This window comes from Homo sapiens, chromosome 19 (assembly GCF_000001405.40).
Source record: "Homo sapiens chromosome 19, GRCh38.p14 Primary Assembly".
Lineage (NCBI taxonomy): Eukaryota > Metazoa > Chordata > Mammalia > Primates > Hominidae > Homo > Homo sapiens.
In genome coordinates, this window is record NC_000019.10 from 2,013,249 (window position 1) to 2,035,619 (window position 22,371).

The 22,371-nt window shown below is 55.2% G+C and overlaps 1 protein-coding gene and 1 long non-coding RNA gene across 6 annotated transcripts in view, besides 3 other annotated features; both read right to left on the minus strand.

Moving 5' to 3' along the window:
- The window catches only part of BTBD2 (BTB domain containing 2), a 30,267-nt gene extending 27,801 nt beyond the window's left edge, over positions 1-2,466 (minus strand). For 2 of the 5 annotated variants that reach the window (XM_047439067.1, XM_047439066.1), the window contains exons 1-2: positions 2,049-2,466; positions 299-470 (exon numbers count right to left, since the gene is read on the minus strand). Coding sequence is in view for 2 of the 5 variants with exons in the window: in NM_017797.4 (NP_060267.2) it covers positions 2,049-2,455 (407 nt within the window). In the remaining 3 variants the exon portion in view is untranslated. The remainder of the gene's footprint in view (positions 1-298; positions 471-2,048) is intronic. The other 3 variants (NM_017797.4, XM_047439065.1, XM_047439068.1) reach the window with 2 other exon arrangements.
- Positions 2,063-2,112: a silencer, noted in NCBI's record as "silent region_9757". NCBI's record gives its function as "represses an Ori minimal core promoter by ATAC-STARR-seq in GM12878 lymphoblastoid cells {active_cell/tissue: GM12878}" and the evidence as "EXISTENCE:reporter gene assay evidence [ECO:0000049][PMID:35858748]".
- Positions 2,123-2,272: a silencer, noted in NCBI's record as "silent region_9758". NCBI's record gives its function as "represses an Ori minimal core promoter by ATAC-STARR-seq in GM12878 lymphoblastoid cells {active_cell/tissue: GM12878}" and the evidence as "EXISTENCE:reporter gene assay evidence [ECO:0000049][PMID:35858748]".
- Positions 2,467-3,096: 630 nt separating the features above from the next.
- LOC107985278 (uncharacterized) lies at positions 3,097-21,633 on the minus strand. The gene is made up of 4 exons (XR_001753845.2): positions 21,503-21,633; positions 15,460-15,586; positions 3,935-4,052; positions 3,097-3,846 (listed from the first exon to the last, which is right to left on the minus strand). It is a non-coding gene; the product is annotated as an uncharacterized LOC107985278 (long non-coding RNA).
- Positions 15,309-15,943: an enhancer, noted in NCBI's record as "OCT4-NANOG-H3K4me1 hESC enhancer chr19:2028556-2029190 (GRCh37/hg19 assembly coordinates)". NCBI's record gives its function as "activates a minimal SCP1, AML or CMV promoter by ChIP-STARR-seq in naive H9 embryonic stem cells {active_cell/tissue: H9 hESC(naive)}" and the evidence as "EXISTENCE:reporter gene assay evidence [ECO:0000049][PMID:30033119]".

Below are 22,371 nucleotides of genomic sequence, written 5' to 3' on the forward strand. Positions count from 1 at the left end.
GAAAACCCAGCCCCTGCCCCCGACCAATGAGGGGCAGGGTAAGAGGGACCGGGGAGTGGAGGGAACCTGGGGCCTGGGGCCGGTACCCCGCACACTGGCAAAGACAGATACTGGGCCAAACCCACTTCTTTCCCAGAAAGGAGGGCTGGGGGCTGGGGAGGGAGGGACCCCGGAGCTGGGGGTCTCTGGGTTGGAAGGGCCCGGAGATGGGAGTCTGGGCAGGGGTCTAGGGTGGTGGCCTGGTGGCAGGGGATCATAGGATGGGGTGCAGGGGGTAGCAGGGCCCAGGGGAGACAACCTTCTGCAGAGTCCAGGGTCCAGAGCCTGGCAGTGGCGGAGCTGGAGGTGGGTGGTCACTGAAGTGGGAGGTGGCAGGGCCCAGGGGTCTCTGGCTGAGGTGGGGGTCCGGGGCTGGAGGGGCTGTGGATGGTAGTCTATGATCTGGACTGCAGGGCGGGCAGGGGGTATCCCTGGAGGGGAGCAGCATGGTTTGAAGGTCTCTGATCCAGATCATGTGCTGAGCCTGGGGGTCTCCGGTGGGGGTCACTGGGTCTGGAGGCAGCAGGGAGGACGCAGGGAGCAAGGCCTAGGGGTCTTGGCGCACAGGGGTGCGGGTGGGAGTGGCAGGGTCCCTGGATGGTGGGGGAAGAGGGAGGGGTCTTGTGGTCATGGGTGGGGGTGGAGGAAATAGCACGACCCCTGAAGGGAGGGGTCCTGGAGTTCAGGAGTCATAGGTTGGGGGTTACGGACTGAGGTGGTGAGGACTGGGGACGGGGGGTCTCAGGTGAGAGCGGAGAAGTCTCTCCATCCTGGGATGCAGGGGTGACACACTTGAGTGTAGTGGGGTCCCAGGGGGCCCCGGGAGTAGAGAGTGGAAGGGCAGTGGGCAGGGGTGAAGGACCTGGGGAAGGAGGGGTCCTGGAGAGTCCCTGGGTACAGGGACGGAGGGGTCACCAGTAGGGGTCCCAGGGGGAGAGGGGCGGCAGGCAAGGGTGCAGGGCCTGGGGATGGAGGGGTCCTGAGGATCCCCGGGTATAGGGATGGAGGGGTGTGGCATGTGGGGTCATGGGTCCTAGAAACAGTGGGTTGGGGTCCTGGGAATGGAGGAGCAGATAGGGGTACACGTCCCAGGGTTGGAGGGTCACAGGAGTCCCAGGGGTGGTGGGTGGGGGTGCAGGGCCAGGGCATGGAGGGGACCCAGGGATGCAGGCCAGGTGGGGTCCAGGGATGGAGGGGCCTGGGGTGTAGGCAGGGGTTCCAGCCGGAGGTGGAGGGGCCCAGGGATCTGGGGGCAGAGGTGTCTGGGGACCTGGGGTGCAGGGAGGGGTGAGGTCCAGGGATGGAGCGTCCTGGGGATGGAAGAATGGAGGGTCCTAGGGTGCAGGCGGGGGGTGGAGGGCCCTGAGGATGGGGTATTCAGGGTTCTGGGGTGCGGGCTGGGTGGGGTTTGAGGATGGAGGGGCCCAGGGGCTCCAAGTGCAGGCCGAGTTGGAGGGTCCCAGGAACGGAGGGTACCGGAGTGCAGGCTGGGTGGGTCCAGGGACGGAGGAGAGCAGGGGTCCCAGGGGTACAGGGCCTGGGATCCCGGGGAACAGGCTGGGGGCGCAAGCCAGAGGTGGAGGATCCAGGGGGGCCTGGGGATGGAGGGGTGCAGAGGCCCAGAGTGCAGGCCTGGTGGGGTCTGGGGACAGAGAGGTGCAGAGGCAGGGACAGAGGGGTGCAGAGCCCAGGGAACTGGGTGGAGTCTAGGGATGGAAGGGTGCAGGCCCCGGGGTGCAGGCCGGGTCGGTTTCAGGACCGGAGGGGTGCAGGGGTCCCAGGGACAGAGGGGTGCAGGGCCTCAGGTGCAGGCCCCGGGGTGCAGGCCGAGTTGGGTTCGGAGCCTGAGGATGCAGGGGTGCAGGGGTCCCGGGGACAGAGGGGTGCAGGGCTCGGGGATGGAGGGGTGCGGGGGTCTCGGGGACAGAGGGGTGCAGGGCCTCAGGTGCAGGGCCCGGGCAGCAGGCTGGGTGGGTCGGGGCCAGGGCTGGCGGGGTCGGGGCGCCCACCTGTGCGCGGGGATGCGCTGCGAGCTGAGCCCCTTGCCCACCAGGAAGTGCACGTCGCACAGCACCTCGTTGTTGAAGAGGAAGGCGAAGCGCTCCTGCACGGTGGGCTTGCTGGCCTGCCAGTTGTACGCGGCCTCGCGCTGCAGCGCCGCCGCCCCCGGGCCCGCCGCCTCCTCCGCCCGCTCCGCGCCCGCGGCCTGCGCGTCTGTCCCGGGGCCCGGCGGGGCGGGCGGCGTCGGCCCAGGGGCGGCGGCGGCGGCGGCGGCGGCGGCGGCGGCGGCGGCCGCGTTGCCGGGGGCCGGGGTGGCGGCGGCGTTGGCGCTGGGCCCGGGACTGCCCCCCGTGCCCGGGCCGACCCCGACCCCCGGCGGGCACGACGCACGCCCGCCGCTCCCACCCGCCGCCATTTTGTGGCTGCGGCGTGGGCGGGGGAGGGGAGGAGGGAAGGAGGGAGGGGAGGAGGGAAGGAGGGAGGGGAAAGGAGGAGAGTAGGGGGAGGAGGGGGAGGAGGGAGGGGAGGGGAAAAGAGGAGGGAGGGGAAAGGAGGGGAGGAGGGAGGGGAGGGGAAGCGGGAAGGAGGGAGGGGAGGAGAGGGAGGGGAAAGGAGGGGGAAGGAGGGAGGGGAGGAGAGGGAGGGGAAAGGAGGGGGAAGGAGGGAGGGGAGGAGAGGGAGGGGAAAGGAGGGGGAAGGAGGGAGGGGAGGAGAGGGAGGGGAAAGGAGGGGGAAGGAGGGAGGGGAGGAGAGGGAGGGGAAAGGAGGGGAGGTGGGAGGGGAGGAGGGAGGGGAGAAGGGAGGTGAATGGGGGAGGCTGTTGCAGGGGAGGGGACGGGGAGGAGAGGGAAGAGTAGGAGGGGCCTGTAGAGGGGAGGAGCTGGTGGAAGACCTCTTGCTCCACTCCCTAAGCATCCTGACCTGAAGCCCAGACTCCAGACCGAGGTCCAGAATTTGGGGTCCAGGCACCAGGCCCCAGACTCCAGACCGGGAATCCTAAACCCTGGAGCACAGACCTCAGTCCGGGATCCCAGGCCTCAGACCTTGAATCCTAGATCCCAGACTCTGAACCCCAGACTTCAGACTCCGGATTCCAGATCCCATACCTCAGACCCGGAACCCCCAACCCAAAGACCAAGCGCAAACTCCAGACCCCAGACCCCGGACCCAGGTGGCGGGCCTGCTCCGTGGCGCAGGCTCCGCTGTACAGAGACATAGCCTGAGGCCGGGAAGCTGCGGATGAGCGAGCAGGATGCAGGCCACGTGCACTGACACTCAGCAGACGCCCAGCACCCTCTCCAGGCCAGGTGTGGGGGGTGGTCAGTGTGGACGGAGCTGGGACTCCCCCAAAACGCTTACTACATACATAATGTCAAGGTAGACAAATGCCACAAAGATTGAGGAACCAGGTCGGGCGCAGTGGCTCACGCCTGTAATCCCAGCACTTCAGGAGGCCAAGGCGGGGGGTGCATCACCTAAGGTCAAGAGTTGGAGACCAGCCTGGGCAACATGGCAAAACCCTGTCTCTACAAAAAATACAAAAATTAGCCAGGCGCGGTGGCTCACGTCTGTAATCCCAGCACTTTGGGAGGCCGAGGCGGGCGGATCACCAGGTCGGGAGATCGAGACCATCCTGGTGAAACCCCATCATGGTGAAACCCCATCTCTACTAAAAATACGAAAATTAGCCAGGCTTGGTGGCGGGTGCCTGTAATCCCAGCTACTCGGGAGGCTGAGGCAGGAGAATCACTTGAACCTGGGAGGCGGAGGTTGCAGTGAGCCGAGACCGCGCCATTGCACTCCAGCCTGAACAACAAGAACAAAACTCCGTCTCAAACAAACAAACAAACAAACAAAACAAAACAAAAAAAAAACTAGGCGTGGTGGTACGCACCTGTTGTCCCAGCTACTCAGAAGGCTGAGACGGAAGCATCACTTGAGCCTGGAAGGTTGAGCTTTTGATGAGCTATGACTCCACCACTGCCCTCCAGCCTGGGCAACAGAGCAAGATCCTGTCTCGAAAAAAAAAAAAAACAAAGAAGAAAAAGAAAATAGGGTATTAAAAAAACCCAAGTGATAATGCTATTTTCAGTTCTCCAGAGTGGGTGGTTGAGGTAGTTACAATTTTTTTTTCTTTTTTCTTTTTTCTTTTTAGAGTCTCCCTCTATTGCCCAGGCTGGGGTGCAGTGATGGCGATCTTGGCTCACTGCAATCTCAGCCTCCTGGTTCAAGCAATTCTCCCGCCTCAGCCTCCTGAGTAGCTGGGGTTACAGGTACCCGCCACCACGCCTGGCTAAGGCTAATTTTTTTTTGTTTGTTTGTTTTGTTTTTGAGACAGTCTCGTTCTGTCGCCCAGGCTGGAGTGCAGTGGCGCGATCTTGGCTCACTGTAAGCTCCGCCTCCCAGATTCACGCCATTCTCCTGCCTCAGCCTCCCGAGTAGCTGGAACTACAGGCGCCTGCCACCATGCCTGGCTAATTTTATATGTGTGTGTGTGTATGTATATACATATATATATATATATATATATTTTTTTTTTTTTTTTTTTTTTTTTTTGAGACAGTCTTGCTCTGTCGCCCAGGCTGGAGTGCAGTGGCACGATCTCAGCTCACCACAACCTCCGCCTCCCGGATTCAAGCGATTCTCCTGCCTCAGCCTCCTGAGTAGCTGGGATTACATGCACCACCACGCCCGGCTAATTTTGTATTTTTAGTAGAGACGGGGTTTCTCCATGTTGGTCAGGCTGGTCTCGAACTCCCGACCTCAGGTGATCCGCCTGCCTTGGCCTCCCCAAGTGCTGGGATTACAGGCGGGAGCCATCACAGCCGGCCTCTAAATGTCAACTTTCTTATCTCTCATCTCATACATTTGCAAAGTGACATCTTTCCAGCCAAATCCTAAAGAGGACATCTGTGCAGTCCCTTCTAGATGAAGGTGCAGAACAGGCATACCTGCCATGGTGACAGAAATTAACAAAATGGTAGGTTGTCTGAGGAAAGGGTGAACTTTACGGAATGCTGAGATGTTCACGATTTTTTTTTTTTTTTTTTTTTTTTTTTTTTTTGAGATGGAGTCTCGTTCTGCCACCCAGGCCAGAGTGCAGTGGTGCAATCTCGGCTCACTGTAAGCTCTGCCTTCCAGGTTCATGCCATTCTCCTGCCTCAGCCCCCCGAGTAGCTGGGACTACAGGCGCCTGCCACCATGCCCGGCTAATTTTTTTTTTTTTTTTGTATTTTTAGTAGAGTCGGGGTTTCATCGTGTTAGCCAGGATGGTCTCTATCTCCTGACCTCGTGATCCGCCCACCTCGGCCTCCTAAAGTGCTGGGATTACAGATGTGAGCCACCGCGCCTGGACTTTTTTTTTTTTAAAGAGCTGTAGGCCAGCCATGGTAGCTCACGCCTGTAATCCCAGCACTTTCGGAGGCCGAGGCAGGCAGATTACTTGAGTTCAGGAGTTCGAGACCAGCCTGGCCAACATAGTGAAACCCTGTCTCCACAAAAAAATACAAAATTAACAAGGTGTTCTGGTGTGTGCCGGTAGTCCCAGCTTTTGGGAGGCTGAAGTGGGAGGATGGCTACAGCTGGGGAGGCTGAGATTGTGCCACTGCACTCCAGCCTGGGCGACAAAGTGAGGCCCTGCCTAACACACACGCACGCGTGCGCGCACACACAGGCACACACACACACGGGATCTCACTTTGTCGCCCAGGCTGCTCATGAACTCCTAGGCTCAAGCAATCTTCTCGCTAGGCCTCCCAAAACGCTGGGATTACAGGTGTGAACCACTCGGCCATGTGGAGATTTTTTTTTTTTTTTTTTTTTTCTTGAGACAGAGTCTTGCTCTGTCGCCCAAGCTGGAGTGCAGTGGCGCGATCTCGGCTCACTGCAAGCTCTGCCTCCCGGGTTAACACCATTCTTCTGCCTCAGCCTCCCAAGTAGCTGGGACTACAGGCGCCTGCCACCACGCCCGGCTAATTTTTTTGTATTTTTAGTAGAGACGGAGTTTCACCGTGTTAGCCAGGATGGTCTCGATCTCCTGACCTCCTGATCTGCCCATCTTGGCCTCCCAAAATACTGGGATTACAGGCGGGAGCCACCGCACCCGGCCCATGTGATTTTGAGAGGGGTGTGAGTGATACAGGTTCATGCATTTGCCTAAATTAACCAAACTACGCTTAAGATTTGTGCATTCGCTGTAAGTAAACCATACCTCTCACTAGACCTAAACATATTACGGATGGAGATTATCTATGAAGGCAGAAACATGAGTCCACCTCAGCCCTAGGGCTGGCAAGGGAAGCTTGCGGAGCCTTTTTGTCCTTTGTCAGTGCTTTTTTTTTTTTTTTTTTTTTTTTTTTTTTTTTTGCTGGCTATTGAGCCAACACCTGCCCCTGGCAGTGCGTTTTGAGCGTTTTTGAGTTTTCCCCGGGTTTCTGGAACCAATCCCAGCCCTGTCTATGCGGTGATGGCGTCTAGAGGGCGCTCGTCACCAAGCTGATTGCTGGATTTCCATTCATTTCCAGAGAAGTGTGCAGTTCACATAATAGAACCATCCTTGGCCAGGAGGGTGGGATGTCATTTCTTCCCTCCCACGGTCCCCTTTCCTCTTCTCTGACTCCAGGACACTCAGGCTGGCTGGCTTTCTTTCTTTGGCTGGCTTGCTTTCTTTCTTGTTCCTTTCTTTCTTTCTTTTTTCCTTCCTTCCTTCCTTCCTTCCTTCTTTTTTCTGCAAAGTCTCGCTCTATCTTCCAGGGCTGGACTGCAATGGTGCGGTCACAGCTCACTGCAGCCTCCACCTCCTGGGCTCAAGTGATCCTCCCGCCTCAGCCTCCTGAGTAGCTGGGACCACAGGCGCGCACCACCATGACTAATTTTTTTTTTTTTAAAGAGTCTCTCGCGGCCAGGCGTGGTGGCTCACACCTGTAATCCTAGCACTTTGAGAGGCTGAAGCAGGAGAATCGCTTGAACCCGGGAGACGGTGTTCAAGACCATCCTGGCTAACACGGTGAAACCCCGTCTCTACTAAAAATACAAAATATTAGCCGGGCGTGGTGGTGGGCGCCTGTAGTCCCAGCTACTCGGGAGGCTGAGGCAGGAGAATATCAAGAACTCAGGAGGCGGAGCTTGCAGTGAGCTGAGATCATGCCACTGCACTCCAGCCTGGGCAACAGAGCAAGACTCTGTCTCAAAAAAAAAAAAAAGTCTCTCGCTCTGTTGCCCAGGCTGAAGTGCAGTGGTGTGGTCTTAGCAAACTGCAACCTCCGCCTCCCAGGTTCAAGCGATTCTCCTGCTTCAGCCTCCCAAGTAGCTGGGATTACGGGTGCCCACCACCACACCCGGCTAATTTTTGTATTTTTAGTAGAGACGGGGTTTCACCATCTTGGCCAGGCTGATCTTGAACTCCTGACCTCGTGATCCAGCCACCTCGGCCTCCCAAAGTTCTGGGATTACAGGCGTGAGCCACTGCGCCAGCCAACACTGGGACTCACTCAGGAATATTATGCACACCAGAAAGGCCTGATGTGGAAGAAAATATTTAAAGGGTTCACAAAAAAATTTAGAGGGAGCAACTGAAGGAGATTAGAATATGCCATGTCAAAATATGCCACCTTAGGAGCCGGGCGCAGTGGCTCACGCCTGCAATCCCAGCATTTTGGGAGACTGAAGCAGGTGGATCACCTGAGGTCAGGAGTTTGAAACCAGCTTGGCCAACATGGTGAAACCCCATCTCTACTAAAAATACAAAATTAAGGCCAGGCACAGTTGCTCATGCCTGTAATCCCAGCACTTTGGGAGGCCAAGGCAAGCGGATCACGAGGTCAGATCGAGACCATCCTGGTTAATGCACTAAAACCCCGTCTCTACTAAAAATACAAAAAAAAATTAGCCGGGCATGGTGGCGGGCGCCTGTAGTCCCGGCTACTAGGGAGGCTGAGGCAGGAGAATGGCGTGAACCCGGGAGGTGGAGCTTGTCGTGAGCCGAGATCGCGCCACTGCACTCCAGCCTCGGTGACAGAGTGAGACTCTGTCCCAAAAAAAAAAAAAAAAAAAAATTAGCTGGGCGTGGTGGCACACACCTGTAATTCCAGTTACTCGAGAGGCTGAGCCAGGAGAATCGCTTGAACCTGGGAGGCAGAGGCTGCAGTGAGCCAAGATCACACCACTGCACCCCATCCTGGGCGAAAGAGGGAGATTCTGTCTTATGAGATAAGAGAAGATAAGATAAGATGATGGGATAAGCCAAGCCTCAGGAGGAAATAAAGAAGAGACCTTTGGATTGAATTGTGACCAGGACAGAAGGGGGCATGTCAACCCCTCTGTCTCACTGGGCTCTCCTTGCCCTTCAAGTGCTGGCCCCAAGTCCCCTTCTCTGCAAGCCCTGCCCACCAGCCCCTCTCTCTGGCTGCAGAGAAAAGCCAGTGGTGGCAGACGCCTGGGGACAGCCATGTCCTGGCCACCTGGCCCAGCCCCAGGCTGGGGCAACCAGTGAGGCTCTTCCTTGTGGATTTCAGGCACTCTCATTGGCAATGAAGTGCTGTGTGCTTAGTTCCTTACGGCTGTGTCACCTGAACAGTTCTGCCCAGTGAGTTATGAACAGAAGAGGTGTGACTCTTCTAGCCTGTAGCATTTAATGGCCAGGGCAAGACCCTCCAGAGACCTCTCCTGTGTGCTCCATTGGAGATGGTGGCTGTGAGCCAGGAGTGAGGAGATGTGGGCAGAGCCACAGCCACCCAGCAAAAGAGCTGGAAAGCAACCTGTGCGTGCTTTATACTTCATTTTTTGTTGTAGTGGTAAATAAAATACACATAATGTAAAATTTGCCTTCTTTTGTTTTGAGATGGACTCTCACCCTGTCACCCAGGCTGGAGTGCAGTGGCGCGATCTTGGCTTACTGCAACCTCCGCCTCCCGGGTTCAGGTGATTCTCCTGCCTCAGCCTCCCGAGTGGCTGGGATTACAGGTGTGCACCACCACACCCAGCTAATTTTTGTATTTTTAGTAGAGACAGGGTTATGTCATGTTGCCCAGGCTGGTCTTGAACTCCTGGGCTCAAGTGATTCTTCCCCTGTCTTGGTCTCCCAAAGTGCTGGGATTACAGGTGTGAGCCGCCACACCTGGCCGGCTTGCTTGCTTTCTCTTTTTTCTTTCTTTCTTTCTCTCTTTCTTTCTTTCCTTCCTTCCTTCTTTCTTTGTCTTTTCTTTCTTTCCTTCTTGTCTTTTTTCTTTCATTCCTTCCTTCCTTCCTCCCTCCATCCCTCCCTCCTTTCTCTCTCTGTCCTTCCTTCCTCCCTCTCTTTCTTTCTTTTTCCTTTTTTTTTTTCCCTGAGACAGGGTCTTGCTCTGTCACTCAGGCTGGAGAGCACTGGTACAAACATGGCTCACCCACTGCAGCCTTGACTTCCTGGGCTCAAGCAATCCTCTTGACTCAACCTCCCAAGTAGCTGGGACCACAGGTGCACACCACCACGCACGGCTAATTTTTTTTATTTTTTGTAGAGATGGAGTTTCACCATGTTGCCCAGGCTGGCCTCAAACTCCTGGGCTCAAGTGATCCTCCCACCTTGGCCTCCCAAAGTGTTGGGATTACCGGCGTGAGCCTCGGTGCCCGGCCTCACATGTTAAGTCCTTTCAGGAGAGTGAGGTGTGTGCAGATAAACCAGATCCCAGGCGGGCGTCTCCCACTTGAAGTCTAAATGATGCTGCCTGAACACACCCGGTGGTAGCTTGCTTCCAAGAAGGCAGCTGTTGGTTTCTTCCCTCCCATGAGGAGGCTGAGTTCATTCTTCCAGCTCCTTGAATCTGAGCTGGCTTTGACCAAGAGAAGATGATGGAAGTGACTGTGCCAGTCCCTGGCCTCAAAGTTCCTGCTTCCTTTCTCCGGGGTCACTTGTGCTTATGGAAGCCACATGCCATGCAAGAGATGTGACTGCTGAGCACGGTGGCTCATGCCTGTAATCCCAGCATGTTGGGAGGCTGAGGTGGGTGGATCACCTGAGGTCAGGAGATCGAGACCATCCTGACTAACATGGTGAAACCCCATCTCTACTAAAAATACAAAATTAGCCGGGAGTGGTGGCAAGCACCTGTAGTCCCAGCTACTCGGGAGGCTTAGGCAGGAGAATGGCGTGAACCTGGGAGGCGGAGCTTGCAGTGAGCCGAGATCGCGCCACTGCACTCCAGCCTGGGTGACAGAGCGAGACTCTCTCAAAAAACAAAAACAAAAATTAGCCAGGCGTGGTGGTGGGCACCTGTAATCCCAGCTGCTTGGGAGGCTGAGGCAGGAGAATTGCTTGAACCCGGGAATCAGAGGTTGCAGTGAGCTGAGATTGTGCCATTGCACTGCAGGCTGGGTGACAAGAGCAAGACTCCGTCTCAAAAAAAAAGAGAGATGTGACCACCTCACTGTGTGTGAAAAGCCATGAAGGGTGGAACATGCCAGCCATGAAAACAGAGAGAAGCCAGAGAGCACAGAGGGGTTGGACGTGTGTGAAGAAGCCCCCTTGTTGGGAGGCCGAGATGGGTGGATCACTTGAGGTCAGGAGTTGGAGACCAGCCTGGTGACCATGGCAAAACCTCATCTCTACTAAAAATACAAAAAAAAAAAAAAGGCCAGGCCTGGTGGCTCACACCTGTAATCCCAACACTTTGGGAGGCCGAGACAGGCAGATCACAAGGTCAGGATATCGAGACCATCCTGGCTAACACGGTGAAACCTGTCTCTACTAAAAATACAAAAAAATTAGCTGGGTGTGGTGGCAGGTGCCTGTAATCCCAGCTACTTGGGAGGCTGAAGCAGGAGAATGGCATGAACCCGGGAAGCAGAGCTTGCAGTGAGCCAAGATTGTGCCACTGCACTCCAGCCTGGGCGACAGAGCAAGACTGTCTGAAAAAAAAAAAAAAAAAAAAAAAAAGCCAGGCATGGTAGCACGTGCCTGTAATCCAATCTTCCCATCTACCCAGGAAGCTGAGGCAGGGGAATAATTTGAACTTGGGAGGCAGAGGTTGCAATGAGCCAAGATCATGCCACTGCACTCCAGCCTGGGCAACAGAGCAAGACTGTCTCAAAAAAAAAAAAAAAAAAAAAAAAAAAAACACAACAAACAAACAAACAAAAAGAAGCCACCTTGAGTGAATACTCCTTCCCAGTGGCCTCAGCCAATGCTGCGTGGATCGGAGACAAACTGCCTAGGCAGGATGAACCACCTAGCTGAGCCCTTCCCAAACTCCTGACCCACAAAATCCTGAGCAAAATAAAATGGTTGCTTTTGAAACCACCCCCGTTCGGCTGACACAAATTGCATGCTAGGTTCTGGACAGAGACACAGGTAGAAATAAGCATGACACAGGCTGCGCTCTGGCCCACTTCTTTGGTGCTAAAAGACATGGAGCACTGGATTCTGAGCACTTGCATCCTGTTGTTCCTATAGAAAGGATTTCTGCTGTTAGGACTCTAAGACTGTTTAAGAATTGATTTGGGGCCAGGTGCAGTGGCTCACGGCTGTAATGCCAGCAGTTTGGGAGGCTGAGGCAGGAGGATCACGAGGTCAGGAGATCGAGACCATCCTGGCTAACACAGTGAAACCCCATCTCTACTAAAAAAATACAAAAAATTAGCCAGGCGTGGTGGTGGGTGCCTGTAGTCCCAGCTACTCAGGAGGCTGAGACAGGAGAATTGCTTGAACTTGGGAGGCAGAGGTTGCAATGAGCCAAGATCACGCCACTGCACTCCAGCCTGGGCAACAGAGCAAGACTGTCTCAAAAAAAAAAATTGATTTGGGGTCAGGCACAGTGGCTCATGCCTGTAATCCCAGTGCTTTGGGAGGTTGAGTCGGGGGATCGCTTGAGCCCAGGGATTCCAGACCACCCTGGGGAACATAGCAAGCCCCTGTCTCTACAAATAATTTTTTTTTTTTGAGACAGAGTCTTGCTCTATTGCCCAGGCTGGAGGGCAGTGGCGCGATCTCGGCTCACTGCAAGCTCTGCCTCCCGGGTTCATGCCATTCTCCTGCCTCAGCCTCCCGAGTAGCTGAGACTATAGGCGCCCGCCAAGACGCCTGGCTAATTTTTTGTATTTTTAGTAGAGATGGGGTTTCGCCTTGTAAGCCAGGATGGTCTCGATTTCCTGACCTCGTGATCCGCCCGCCTCGGCCTCCCAAAGTGCTGGGATTACAGGCGTGAGCCACCGCGCCCGGCCTTCTTTTTTCTTTCATTCCTTCCTTCCTCCCTCCCTCCTTCCTCTCTCTCTCCTTCCTTCCTTCCACTCTCTTTCTTTCTATCTTTCTTCTTCCTTTTTTTTTTTTCTGAGACAGGGTCTTGCTCTGTCACTCAGGCTGGAGAGCACTGGTACAAACAAGGCTCACTCACTGCAGCCTTGACTTCCTGGGCTCAAGCAATCCTCTTGCCTCAGCCTCCCAAGTAGCTGGCACCACAGGGGCACACCACCACGCACGGCTAATTTTTTTTTATTTTTTGTAGAGATGGGGTTTCACCATGTTGCCCAGGCTGGCCTCAAACTCCTGGGCTCAAGTGATCCTCCCACCTTGGCCTCCCAAAGTGCTGGGATTACAGGCGCGAGCCATCGCGCCCGGCCTCTACAAATAATCTTAAACATTAGCTGGAAGTGGTGTCATGCCTCTGTGGCTTCAGCTACTTCAGAAGCTAAGGTGGGAGGATTGGTTGAGCTGGGGAGGTTGAGGCTGCAGTGAGCTAAGAGCAGGCCACTGCACTCTACTCTGGGGGACAGAGCCAGACCTTGTCTCAAAAAAAAAAAAAGAAAAAAAAATTGATTACTGGATCTCTGATGTTAGACTCATAAAACTTTTTTTTTTTTTTTTTTTTTTGAGACAGTCTCACTCTGTCACTCAGGCTAGAGTGCAGTGGCTTGATCTCGGCTCCCTGCAACCTCTGCCTCCCGGGTTCAAGTGACTGTCCTGCCTCAACCTCCAGAGTAGCTGGAATTACAGGCGTGCACCACAAGGCCCAGCTAATTTTTTTTGTTTGTTTTTGTATTTTTAGTAGAGACGGGGGTTTCACCATGTTGGCCAGACTGGTCTTGAACTCTTGACCTCAAGGGATCCTCCCAGTGCGGCCTCCCAAAGAGCTGGGATTACAGGCGTGAGCCACTGCACCTGGTGCCTATATTTTCATTCTGGAAACTAAAACGGTTCCTGATACACAGTATACCAAATATATGTCACTTCCTTTATGATAGGAGGGCAGGAGGAAGGGAGAGAGGAAAAGATAAAGAGAGTGAAGGAGGTTGGGCGCGGTGGCTCACACCTGTAATCCCAGCACTTTGGGAAGCCAGGGCAGGCGGATCACCTCAGGTCAGGAGTTCGAGACCAGCCTTACCAACATGGTGAAACCCCGTCTCTACTAAAAATACAAAAAAATTAGCAGGGTGTAGTGGCACATGCCTATAATCCCAGCTACTGGGGAGGCTGAGGCAGGAGAATCGCTGGAACCTGGGAGGCAGAGTTTGCAGTGAGCCAAGACGGCGCCACTGCACTCCAGCCTGGGCAACAGAGCATGACTCCATCTAAGAAAAAAAAAAAAAAAGAAGACAGGAGGAGCCCCTATCCTGGTACAGTGAGCCCCCCCACACACCCCATTTTACAGATGGCCATGGTGAGGCCCAGGTGGAGAGAAGCCCGGGCTCACATGGAAGGTCCGGAGTCCGGAGTCCGGAGTCCAGGTTAGGAGGCACGGCCAGAGATCGCCGCCCACTCAGCCTCCTGGATTGCACGGTTCAGTTTGATGCACTTTTATTTCCAAGAACAAAGGATAAAGGGACTGTTATTAAATTATACCACCAGTGCCCTGCTCAAGCACACACACCAGACACACACACACACCAGACACACACACACACCAGACACACACACAGGGCCACAAGTGAAACTGGCCAGGTCTGGCTGGGTGTGGTGGCTCACACCTCTCATCCCAGCACCTTGGGAGGCCGAAGCAGGTGGATCACCTGAAGTCAGGAGTTCGAGATCAGCCTGGCCAACATGGAGAAACCCGCATCTCTACTAAAAATACAAAAATTAGCCAGGCGTGGTGGTGGGCACCTGTAATCCCAGCTACCTGGGAGACTGAGGCAGGAAAATCGCTTGAATCCGGGAGGTGGAGGTTGCAGTGAGCTGAGATCACGCCACTGCACTACAGCCTGGGTGACAGAGCGAGACGCCAGAGTGAGAGCGAGAGCCAGAGAGAGAGAGAGAGAGAGAAAGAAAGAAAGAAACGGGCCAGGTCTGAATAAAGTGGATGAATTGTATCAATGCCAACAGCGTGGTTATGACATTGTAATAGACTGTTGCAAAATGTTACCACTGGGGGAAACTAGGCAAAGTGCTATTTCTTATAACTGCATGTGTTTCCAATCATTACAGCAAAAAATTCAATTACAAAATATATATATTTTTTGAAACATGATCCAAAGTGCAGGGGCGTGATCACAGCTCACTGCAGCCTCAAACTCCTGGGCTCAATCCTCCTCCCTCAGCCTCCTATGTAGCTGGGACCACAGGCAGGCACCACCACACCTGGCTAATTTTTTATATTTTTAGTAGAGATGGGGTTTCACCATCTTTGCCAGGCTGATCTTGAACTCCTGACCTCGTAATCCACCCACCTCGGCCTCCCAAAGTGCTGGGATTACAGGCGTGAGCCACCGCGCCCGGCCGACAAGCCCTCTTTGTTGATGTCTGTATCTTCTGCCATTTCACAAAAGGTGCTCACAAAAGGGAAACCGAGGCAGGGCATGGTGGTTCACACCTGTAATCCCAGCACTTTGGGAGGCCAAGGCAGGAGGATCACTTGAGCCCAGGGGCTCCAGACCAGCCTGGGCAACATAATGAGACCCCACCTCTAAAAAAAAAAATTACAAAAATTAGCTGGGCCTGGTGGCGCACACCTGAGGTCACAGCTACTCAGGAGACTGAGGTGGGAGGATGATTTGAGCATGGGAGGTCAAGGCTGCAGTGAGCCATGACAGCACCACTGCACTCCAGCCTGGGTGACAGAATGAGACCTCATCTCAAAAAAAGGGAAACTGAGGCAGGGGAGCGCTGGAGCTGTTGCCCTCACACTTCACGCGGGGAAACTGAGTCTCCCTGGGGGTGGCGGGATGAATGTACCCCAGGGCATCTTCCCGAGGCTGCCCACAGACCCCAAGCCCTGCATGGCAGGGAGTGAAATGTTAGCTTGATAGAAGGAATGAAGACAGCCAGAAATGGAATGAACAGGGCAGGCACCACCGGGGAGTCAGTGAGGTTCCAACCCAGGGGTGCCAGTTCTATCCGGCCACCCAAACCCCAGGTGGGAACACTCGTATCAGCGGGACCCCCAGCTCACCCAGGCTTCCCCGACACAGGGAGCTGGCCCTCCCACCCTCCCTTCCTCTCTCCCCAACGCTTACCCCATCCCAGCTTTGACCAAGGAGGTAGGTCCTTCCTCACGTCTGACTTGATTCCATCACACTTCACTTTAAACAGGTTTCTCATTCTTCAGGGTGAGTCAGAGACCAGGACAGGCCACAGGGTTGCCTTTGGCAAGGGGACAATTAAAGGCCAGAATGAAAGGGGCTGATCCAGCAGGAGGGATCCCTGTGGTTAGTGACAATGGCAGGAAGTAAAATTTGTGTGAGTCCTTTTATGCTGCAGAGGGAGGAGAGACATCCTGCTGGCCTTCTCCCAGTCCTGGGGCAATAAATTAGTCCTCAACACATTTTGTTTCTGTTTTGAGAGGGAATCTCGCTCTGTCGCCCAGGCTGGAGTGCAGTGGTGCGGTCTCTGCTCACTGCAAGCTCCACCTCCCAGGTTCATGCCATTCTCCTGCCTCAGCCTCCTGAGTAGCTGGGACTACAGGTTCCCGCCACCACGCCCGGCTAATTTTTTGTATTTTTTTAGTAGAGACGGGGTTTCACTGTGTTAGCCAGGATGGTCTCGATCTCCTGACCTCGTGATCTGCCAGCCTCGGCCTCCCAAAGTGCTGGGATTACAGGCGTGAGCCACTGCGCCCGGCCCATTATTATTATTTTATTGTTTTTTACAATAGAGACGGGGGTCTCACTGTGTTGCCCAGGCTGGTGTCAAACTCCTGGCCTCAAGCGATCCACTGGTCTCAGCCTCTCAGTGTTGGAATTACAGGCATGAGCCACCGTGCCCGGCCATTATTACTATTATTAATTGAGACAGGGTCTTAGTTTGTTACTAAGTTTGTTACTTAGTTTGTTACTAAGTTTGTTACTTAGTTTGTTACAGGCTGGAGGGCGGTGATATGATCATAGCTCACTGCAGCCTCAAATTCCTGGGCTCAAGGGATCCTCCTGCCTCAGCCTCCCGAGTAGCTGGAACTACAGGTATGTGCCACCACACCTGGCTAATTTTTGTATTTTTTGTAGAGATACGGGTCTCACTATATTGTCCAGTGTGCTCTTGAACTCCTGGGCTCAAGCAATCCTCCCACCTCAGCCTCCCAAAGTGCTGGGATTACAGGCGTGAGCCATTGCATCCAGCCTAAATAAAATTGTTATTATTATTATCCATCCGGGCATGGTGGCTCACACCTGCAATCCCAGAACTTTGGGAGGCTGAGGCGGGTGGATAACCTGAGGTCAGGAGTTTGAGATCAGCCTGGCCACCATGGTGAAATCCTGTCTCTATTAAAAATACAAAAATTAGCCAGGCATGGTGGCGGGCACCTGTAATCCCAGCTACTTGGGAGGCTGAGGCAGGAGAATCGCTTGAACCTGGGAGGCGGAGGTTGCAGTGCGCCAAGATTGCACTACTGAACTCCAGCCTGGTGACAGAGCGAGACTCTGTCACCAAAAAAAAAAAAAAAAAAAAGACCAAGTGCGGTGGCTCACGCCTGTAATCCCAACACTTTGGGAGGCCAAAGTGGGTAGAGCACTTGAGGTCAGGAGTTCAAGACCAGCCTGGGCACCATGGCAAAACCCTGTTTCCACTAAAAATACAAAAATTAGCTGAGTGTGGTGGCGCATGCCTATAATCTCAGCTACCCAGGGGGCTGAGGCATGAGAATCGCTTGAACCCAGGAGGCAGAGGTTGCAGTGAGCCGAGATCTCGCCACTGAACTCCAGCCCGGGCGACAGAGCGAGACTCCGTCTCAAAAAATAAAAAAATAAAAACGATGGCACTGTGAACGGGTCTGTTGACTATTTCTTGGTCTCTTGGTTTATCTCCTCCCAGCTCAGGCTTGCTCCTCGCCACAGTGGGGCTCAAGGCAGTTGCACCTCGGCACAATTTTCTTTTTTTTTTTGGAGACGGAGTCTTGCTGTCTCCCAGGCTGGAGTGCAGTGGTGCGATCTCGGCTCACTGCAAGCTCCTCCTCCCGGGTTTATGCCATTCTCCTGCCTCAGCCTCCCGAGTAGCTGGGACTACAGGTGCCCACCACCATGCCCAGCTAATTTTTTGTATTTTTAGTAGAGACGGGGTTTTACCGTGTTAGCCAGGATGGTCTCGATCTCCTGACCTTGTGATCCACCCGCCTCGGCCTCCCAAAGTGCTGAGATTACAGGCGTGAGCCACCGCGCCCGGCCACCTCAGCACAATTTTCTTCGTGGTTTTAGCTTTTTCTGGAAAATCGACTTAATCCGCCTACCACAGCCACTCTGCTTCCTGTAAGGCCACTTTCCCTGGGTTCAGAGAGAGTCCTCGCTCCTCTAGCGCTGCCTCACTTTGTAGGATTGGCGCTGGCCACACTTCTTACAGAAAGGCTTTTGGGGCCGGGCACGGTGGCTCACGCCTGTAATCCCAGCACTTTGGGAGGCCGGATCACCTGAGGTTGGGAGTTTGAGCCCAGCCTGGCTAACACGGTGAAACCCCATCTCTACTAAAAATACAAACAATTAGCCGGGTGTGGTGGCGGGCACCTGTCGTCCCAGCTACTGGGGAGGCTGAGGCAGGAGAATGGCGTGAACCCGGCAGGCGGAGGTTGCAGTGAGCCAAGATTGCACCACTGCACTCCAGCCTGGGTGACAAAGCGAGACTCCATCTCAAAAAAAAAAAATAAAAAAGGCTCTTGGGGCCGGGCGCAGTGGCTCACGCCTGTAATCTCAGCACTTTGGGAGGCCGAGGCAGGCGGATCACCTGAGGTCGGGAGTTCGAGACCAGCCTGGCCAACATGGAGAAACCCCGTCTCTGCTAAACACACACACGCGCGTGCACACACACACACACACACACACACACAGAAAAAGTTAGCTGGGCGTGATGGCCTGTGCCTGTAATCCCAGTCACTCAGAAAGCTGAGCAGGTGAATCGCTTGAATCCGGGAGGTGGAGGTCGTAGTGAGCTGAGATCGTGCCACTGCACTCCAGCCTGGGCAACAGAGGGAGACGTCGTCTCAAAAAGCACCTGTGTTTTCGGAACATTCACCATGTTTGCAGGAGCACTATTGGCACGGAAAAAAAAATGTTTTGTTTTGTTTTGTTTTTTCTTTTTGTTTTTGCCAGAGTCTTGCTCTTGTTGTCTAGGCTGGAGTGCAGTGGTACAATCTCAGCTCACTGCAACCTCCGCCTCCCAGGTTCAAGCGATTCTCCTGCCTCAGCCTCCTGAGTAACTGGGATTATAGGCGCCCGACACCACGCCCGGCTAATTTTTTGACTCTTAGTAGAGACAGGGTTTCACCATGTTAGCCAAGCTGGTCTCGAACTCCTGACCTCAGATATCTCCCCGCCTCGGCCTCCCAAAGTGCTGGGATTACAGGCATGAGCCACCACGCACAGCCAAAAATGTATGTTTCTAAAGAACAGCTTTGGGGTTTCAAAGAAATTGTGAAGGTCACAGGGTTTCCGCACAGTCCACACCCCACACCTGGTTTCTCTGACAATCTGTGTGGTGCAGTAGCATGTGCTGCTGTCTTTTTAAAGGATCCCCGAATCACTGCTGCAATGTAGAGGTGATTTTGCCATGAAGGATTCAGTTTGCTCCCACCCCTGACCCGGTGGGACACGTGGGCAGACCCCGGCCCGGGCACCTGTGCGCCAGAGCTGGTGGTTCCCTTCACAGAGGGGCAGACTGGGCTCTGGAGGCTGGGGGTGGCCTCGGTCACCGCCTGTGAAAGGCTCCCAGTTCCTCCAGCTCCAGAATTTTCCTGCCACTCTACAAGAAGAGACTGGAAGAGGGCGGGACTGGCAGAGAGGAAACCACAAAAACAGGATTGAGAGCAGCAGCTCAGAAGACAAGCTGTTCCTGGCAGGCGGCCGGGGGCAGGCAGCGGTCAGCGGGGGGGCCTGGCAGGGCTGGGCGGGGCTCGGTGCCACCCGGGAGGGAAGTGACTTGGCCTATGGCACCTCCCACACTTCCTACACACAAGCCAGGCTGGGCAAGGGACAAGGGCAACAGGCCAGGGAGCCCTGAGGATGGCCGGGTGGGGGCCGTCTGTGTGCCTTCATTCATTCATTCATTCAATCTGTTATGTGCGAGTTCACAAACTAGGACAAAGGAGGAGACAGCTGAGCTCAGCCCACCTTCAAGGGTGGCAGATGAGTAACCCAGGGCGAGGAACATTCACGGATGGTCATGCGGCTGCAACACGGCCCGAGCTCCTAGGGAGCACCTCCAGAAGTGATCCCAGATCCGGGGGCTGAAGGGTGCAGAGGAGAAACCAGGTGCAGAGGATGTTGGGGAGGCCCCGCTGGAAGGGGGAGCAGGTGCATAGGCCCGGCATCCAGAAGGAGCTGGGGCTGGAGAAACTGAGAGGAGGGCAGAGTTTGAGGGGGAGGCTTGCAGGCTGGGTACTCTGAGCCTTGAACTCCTGGGCTCATGCAATCCTCCCACCTCAGCCTTCCAAAGTATTGAGATTACAGGTGTGGGCCACTGTACCCAGACTAAATAAAATAATAATAATTATTATTATTATCATTATTATTATTATTATTATTATTAGAACCTAAACTAGGTGCCAGGGCAGCCAAGAGCACTTTGTTTTTGTGCTGTGGGCAATGGGGAGCCATGGGAGGTGTTAGAGTAGGGGTGGGCTGTGATTGGTTTTAAGTCACTAGGAGAAAAGAGGCAGAGGCAGGAATGGGGGCTAGAAGGTCAGCAAGGAGTCTGGGGCCTTGGCCTGGGGTAGCAGTAAGGGGGAGGACAAAAGTGGGGGTGATTTTGAGAGGAGACTTGGGAGTTGAGATTCAAAGGGTGTGATGGGGGGAAAGGAGGAGAAGACAGGGAAGACCAAAGCCAGAGAGAAGAGAGACCCTAGGGATGGGGCTGAGGAGAGAGAGCCGTCCCCAGCTCGGATGAGGCTCAGACAGGTTGGCCGCAGCACCCAGAGAAAACCTGGGAGCTGGGACCCTCTGGGTTTCTGGGGGCTGCCACTGTCCAGGGTAGAGGCCTGGCCAGGCCCCACCCTGTGGTCATCTGGCCCAGCCCTCTGTTTTCCAGATGGGGAAACTGAGGCCCAGGTTGGCAGTCATCTTGCCAGCCCCATAGCCCCTTTTCCAGGGGACAGCTCGGAACCTCGATTTCCAGTCTGTGCCTTGAGGCTGTGGGGGAAGCTAACGGAGGACCCTGAGCCCCTCCCTCCCACTGCAGCTGCAGAACAGGGCTAGAAGGACTTCATGGGTCATGGGGTTCAGTCGGGACTGTGGGGTAGCCACGAAGTGCCCTGCAGGGGGTGACAGACCCCCGGTGCCCGGCCCACCCTTCACCTCCCCCAGCAGTTAGCCCTGCAGGGCTGGGCCCGTCCTGGCCATGGCCGTGGTCTCTGCTCCACCTGGGTCTCCCCGGACCCTTCCTCCTCTAGGCCCAGCTGGAATCCACCACCCCCGGGGCCATTCACATGAAAAGTCCAGAACAGGCAAATCCCCAGAGACAGAGAGTGCACTAGTGACCACCGGGGGCTGGGGAGGTGGGGAAAGGCAGTGACTGCCGGTGGGGCGGGCTTGCTGTTCCGGGTGATGAGAATGTTGCAGAATTGGATTAGAGGCGAAGGCTGCACAACTTTGCGTGTGCTAAAACCATTGAATTTTAGACGCAGTGGGTGAACAGCGGTGCTGAGGTTTTTTTGTTTTGTTTTGTTTTGTTTTTTAGAAAGAGTCTCGCTGTGTTGCCCAGGCTGGAGTACGGTGGTGCAATCTCGGCTCACTGCAACCTCAGCCTCCTGGGCTCAAGCGATCCTCCTGCCTCAGCCTCCCTAGCAGCTGGGATTACAGGCAACTGCCACCACGCCCGGCTAATTTTGTATTTTTAGTGGAGATGGGGTTTCACCATGTTGGCCAGGCTGGTCTCAAACTCCTGACCTCAGGTGATCCTCCCGCCTCGGCCTCGCAAAGGGCTGGGATTACGTGAGTGAGCCACCGCACCCGGCCAGGTGCTGAGTTTTATCACAGTAAAGCTGTTATCTGAAAAAATAAAATGCTGCCTGGGTTCCCTGTTGCCTTTGGGGTGCCGCCCCCTCCCCGGCCGTGGTCGGGTGTGTCCCCACACGGTGCTTACTCTCGCGCTCCAGCCTGTCGGTGTGCAGGTACCATAAGCTTCCTTCACCTCCTCACGCCTTCTCCCATGCAGGCTCCTGGGGCAGGGCAGGGAACCCTTCCGTCCCGAGCGCCATCTCTCTTGCCTCCAGCCCCCTCCAGGCCCAAACCCCGCCCCTCCAGACCGCAAGCCCCGCCTTTCCAGGCCCAAACCTGGCCCCAGACACAAGCCTCACCCCCACCTCCAGTTCATAAGCCCCGCTCCCTCCAGGCAAAAGCTCCGCCCCCCAGGCCATAAGTCTCTGCCTTCCAGGCCTCAAACCTCACCCAATACACAAGCCCCGCCCCGTCTGGGAACCTCCCCCAAGCCTCGCCCCTCCAGGCCCCAAACTTCGCCCCAGACGAGGCCCTAACCCTTCAGATTCCAAGCTCCGCCCACCAAGTCCAAGGCTCCGCCCCATATAATAAGCCCCACCCCCAGACGCCAAGCCTCGCCCCCTCCAGGCCTCAAGTCCCGCCCCCTCAGGCGACGTCATCGGTTTCTTTCTTGCTGGGTTTTGTCCCTGCACTGCGCTACCAGCCTGTAGCTCACCTGGCTGCCCTTGGCTCCCGCTTGATGAATCCGGAAACTGAGGCACACAGTAGCCTGGATACAGCTGGGATTTCAGCCCAGGCTGGCCTCCTTAACCACTAGGCTTCGCTGTCCTCCTTCCGCTCCCGCCTCCAGGAAGCCCTTCCTGGTCTACACCCAACTCCAGGATCTGAGGTCAGCCCTTGGCCGTCCAGCTCATCTTCTCTGCCACCAGCCCCAGCACAGCGTCCTGCCTGCAACAAAAACTTAATAATGGCTGAGGGGGGTGAACCCTAAAGCAGGCAGGGGCCGGCCATGTG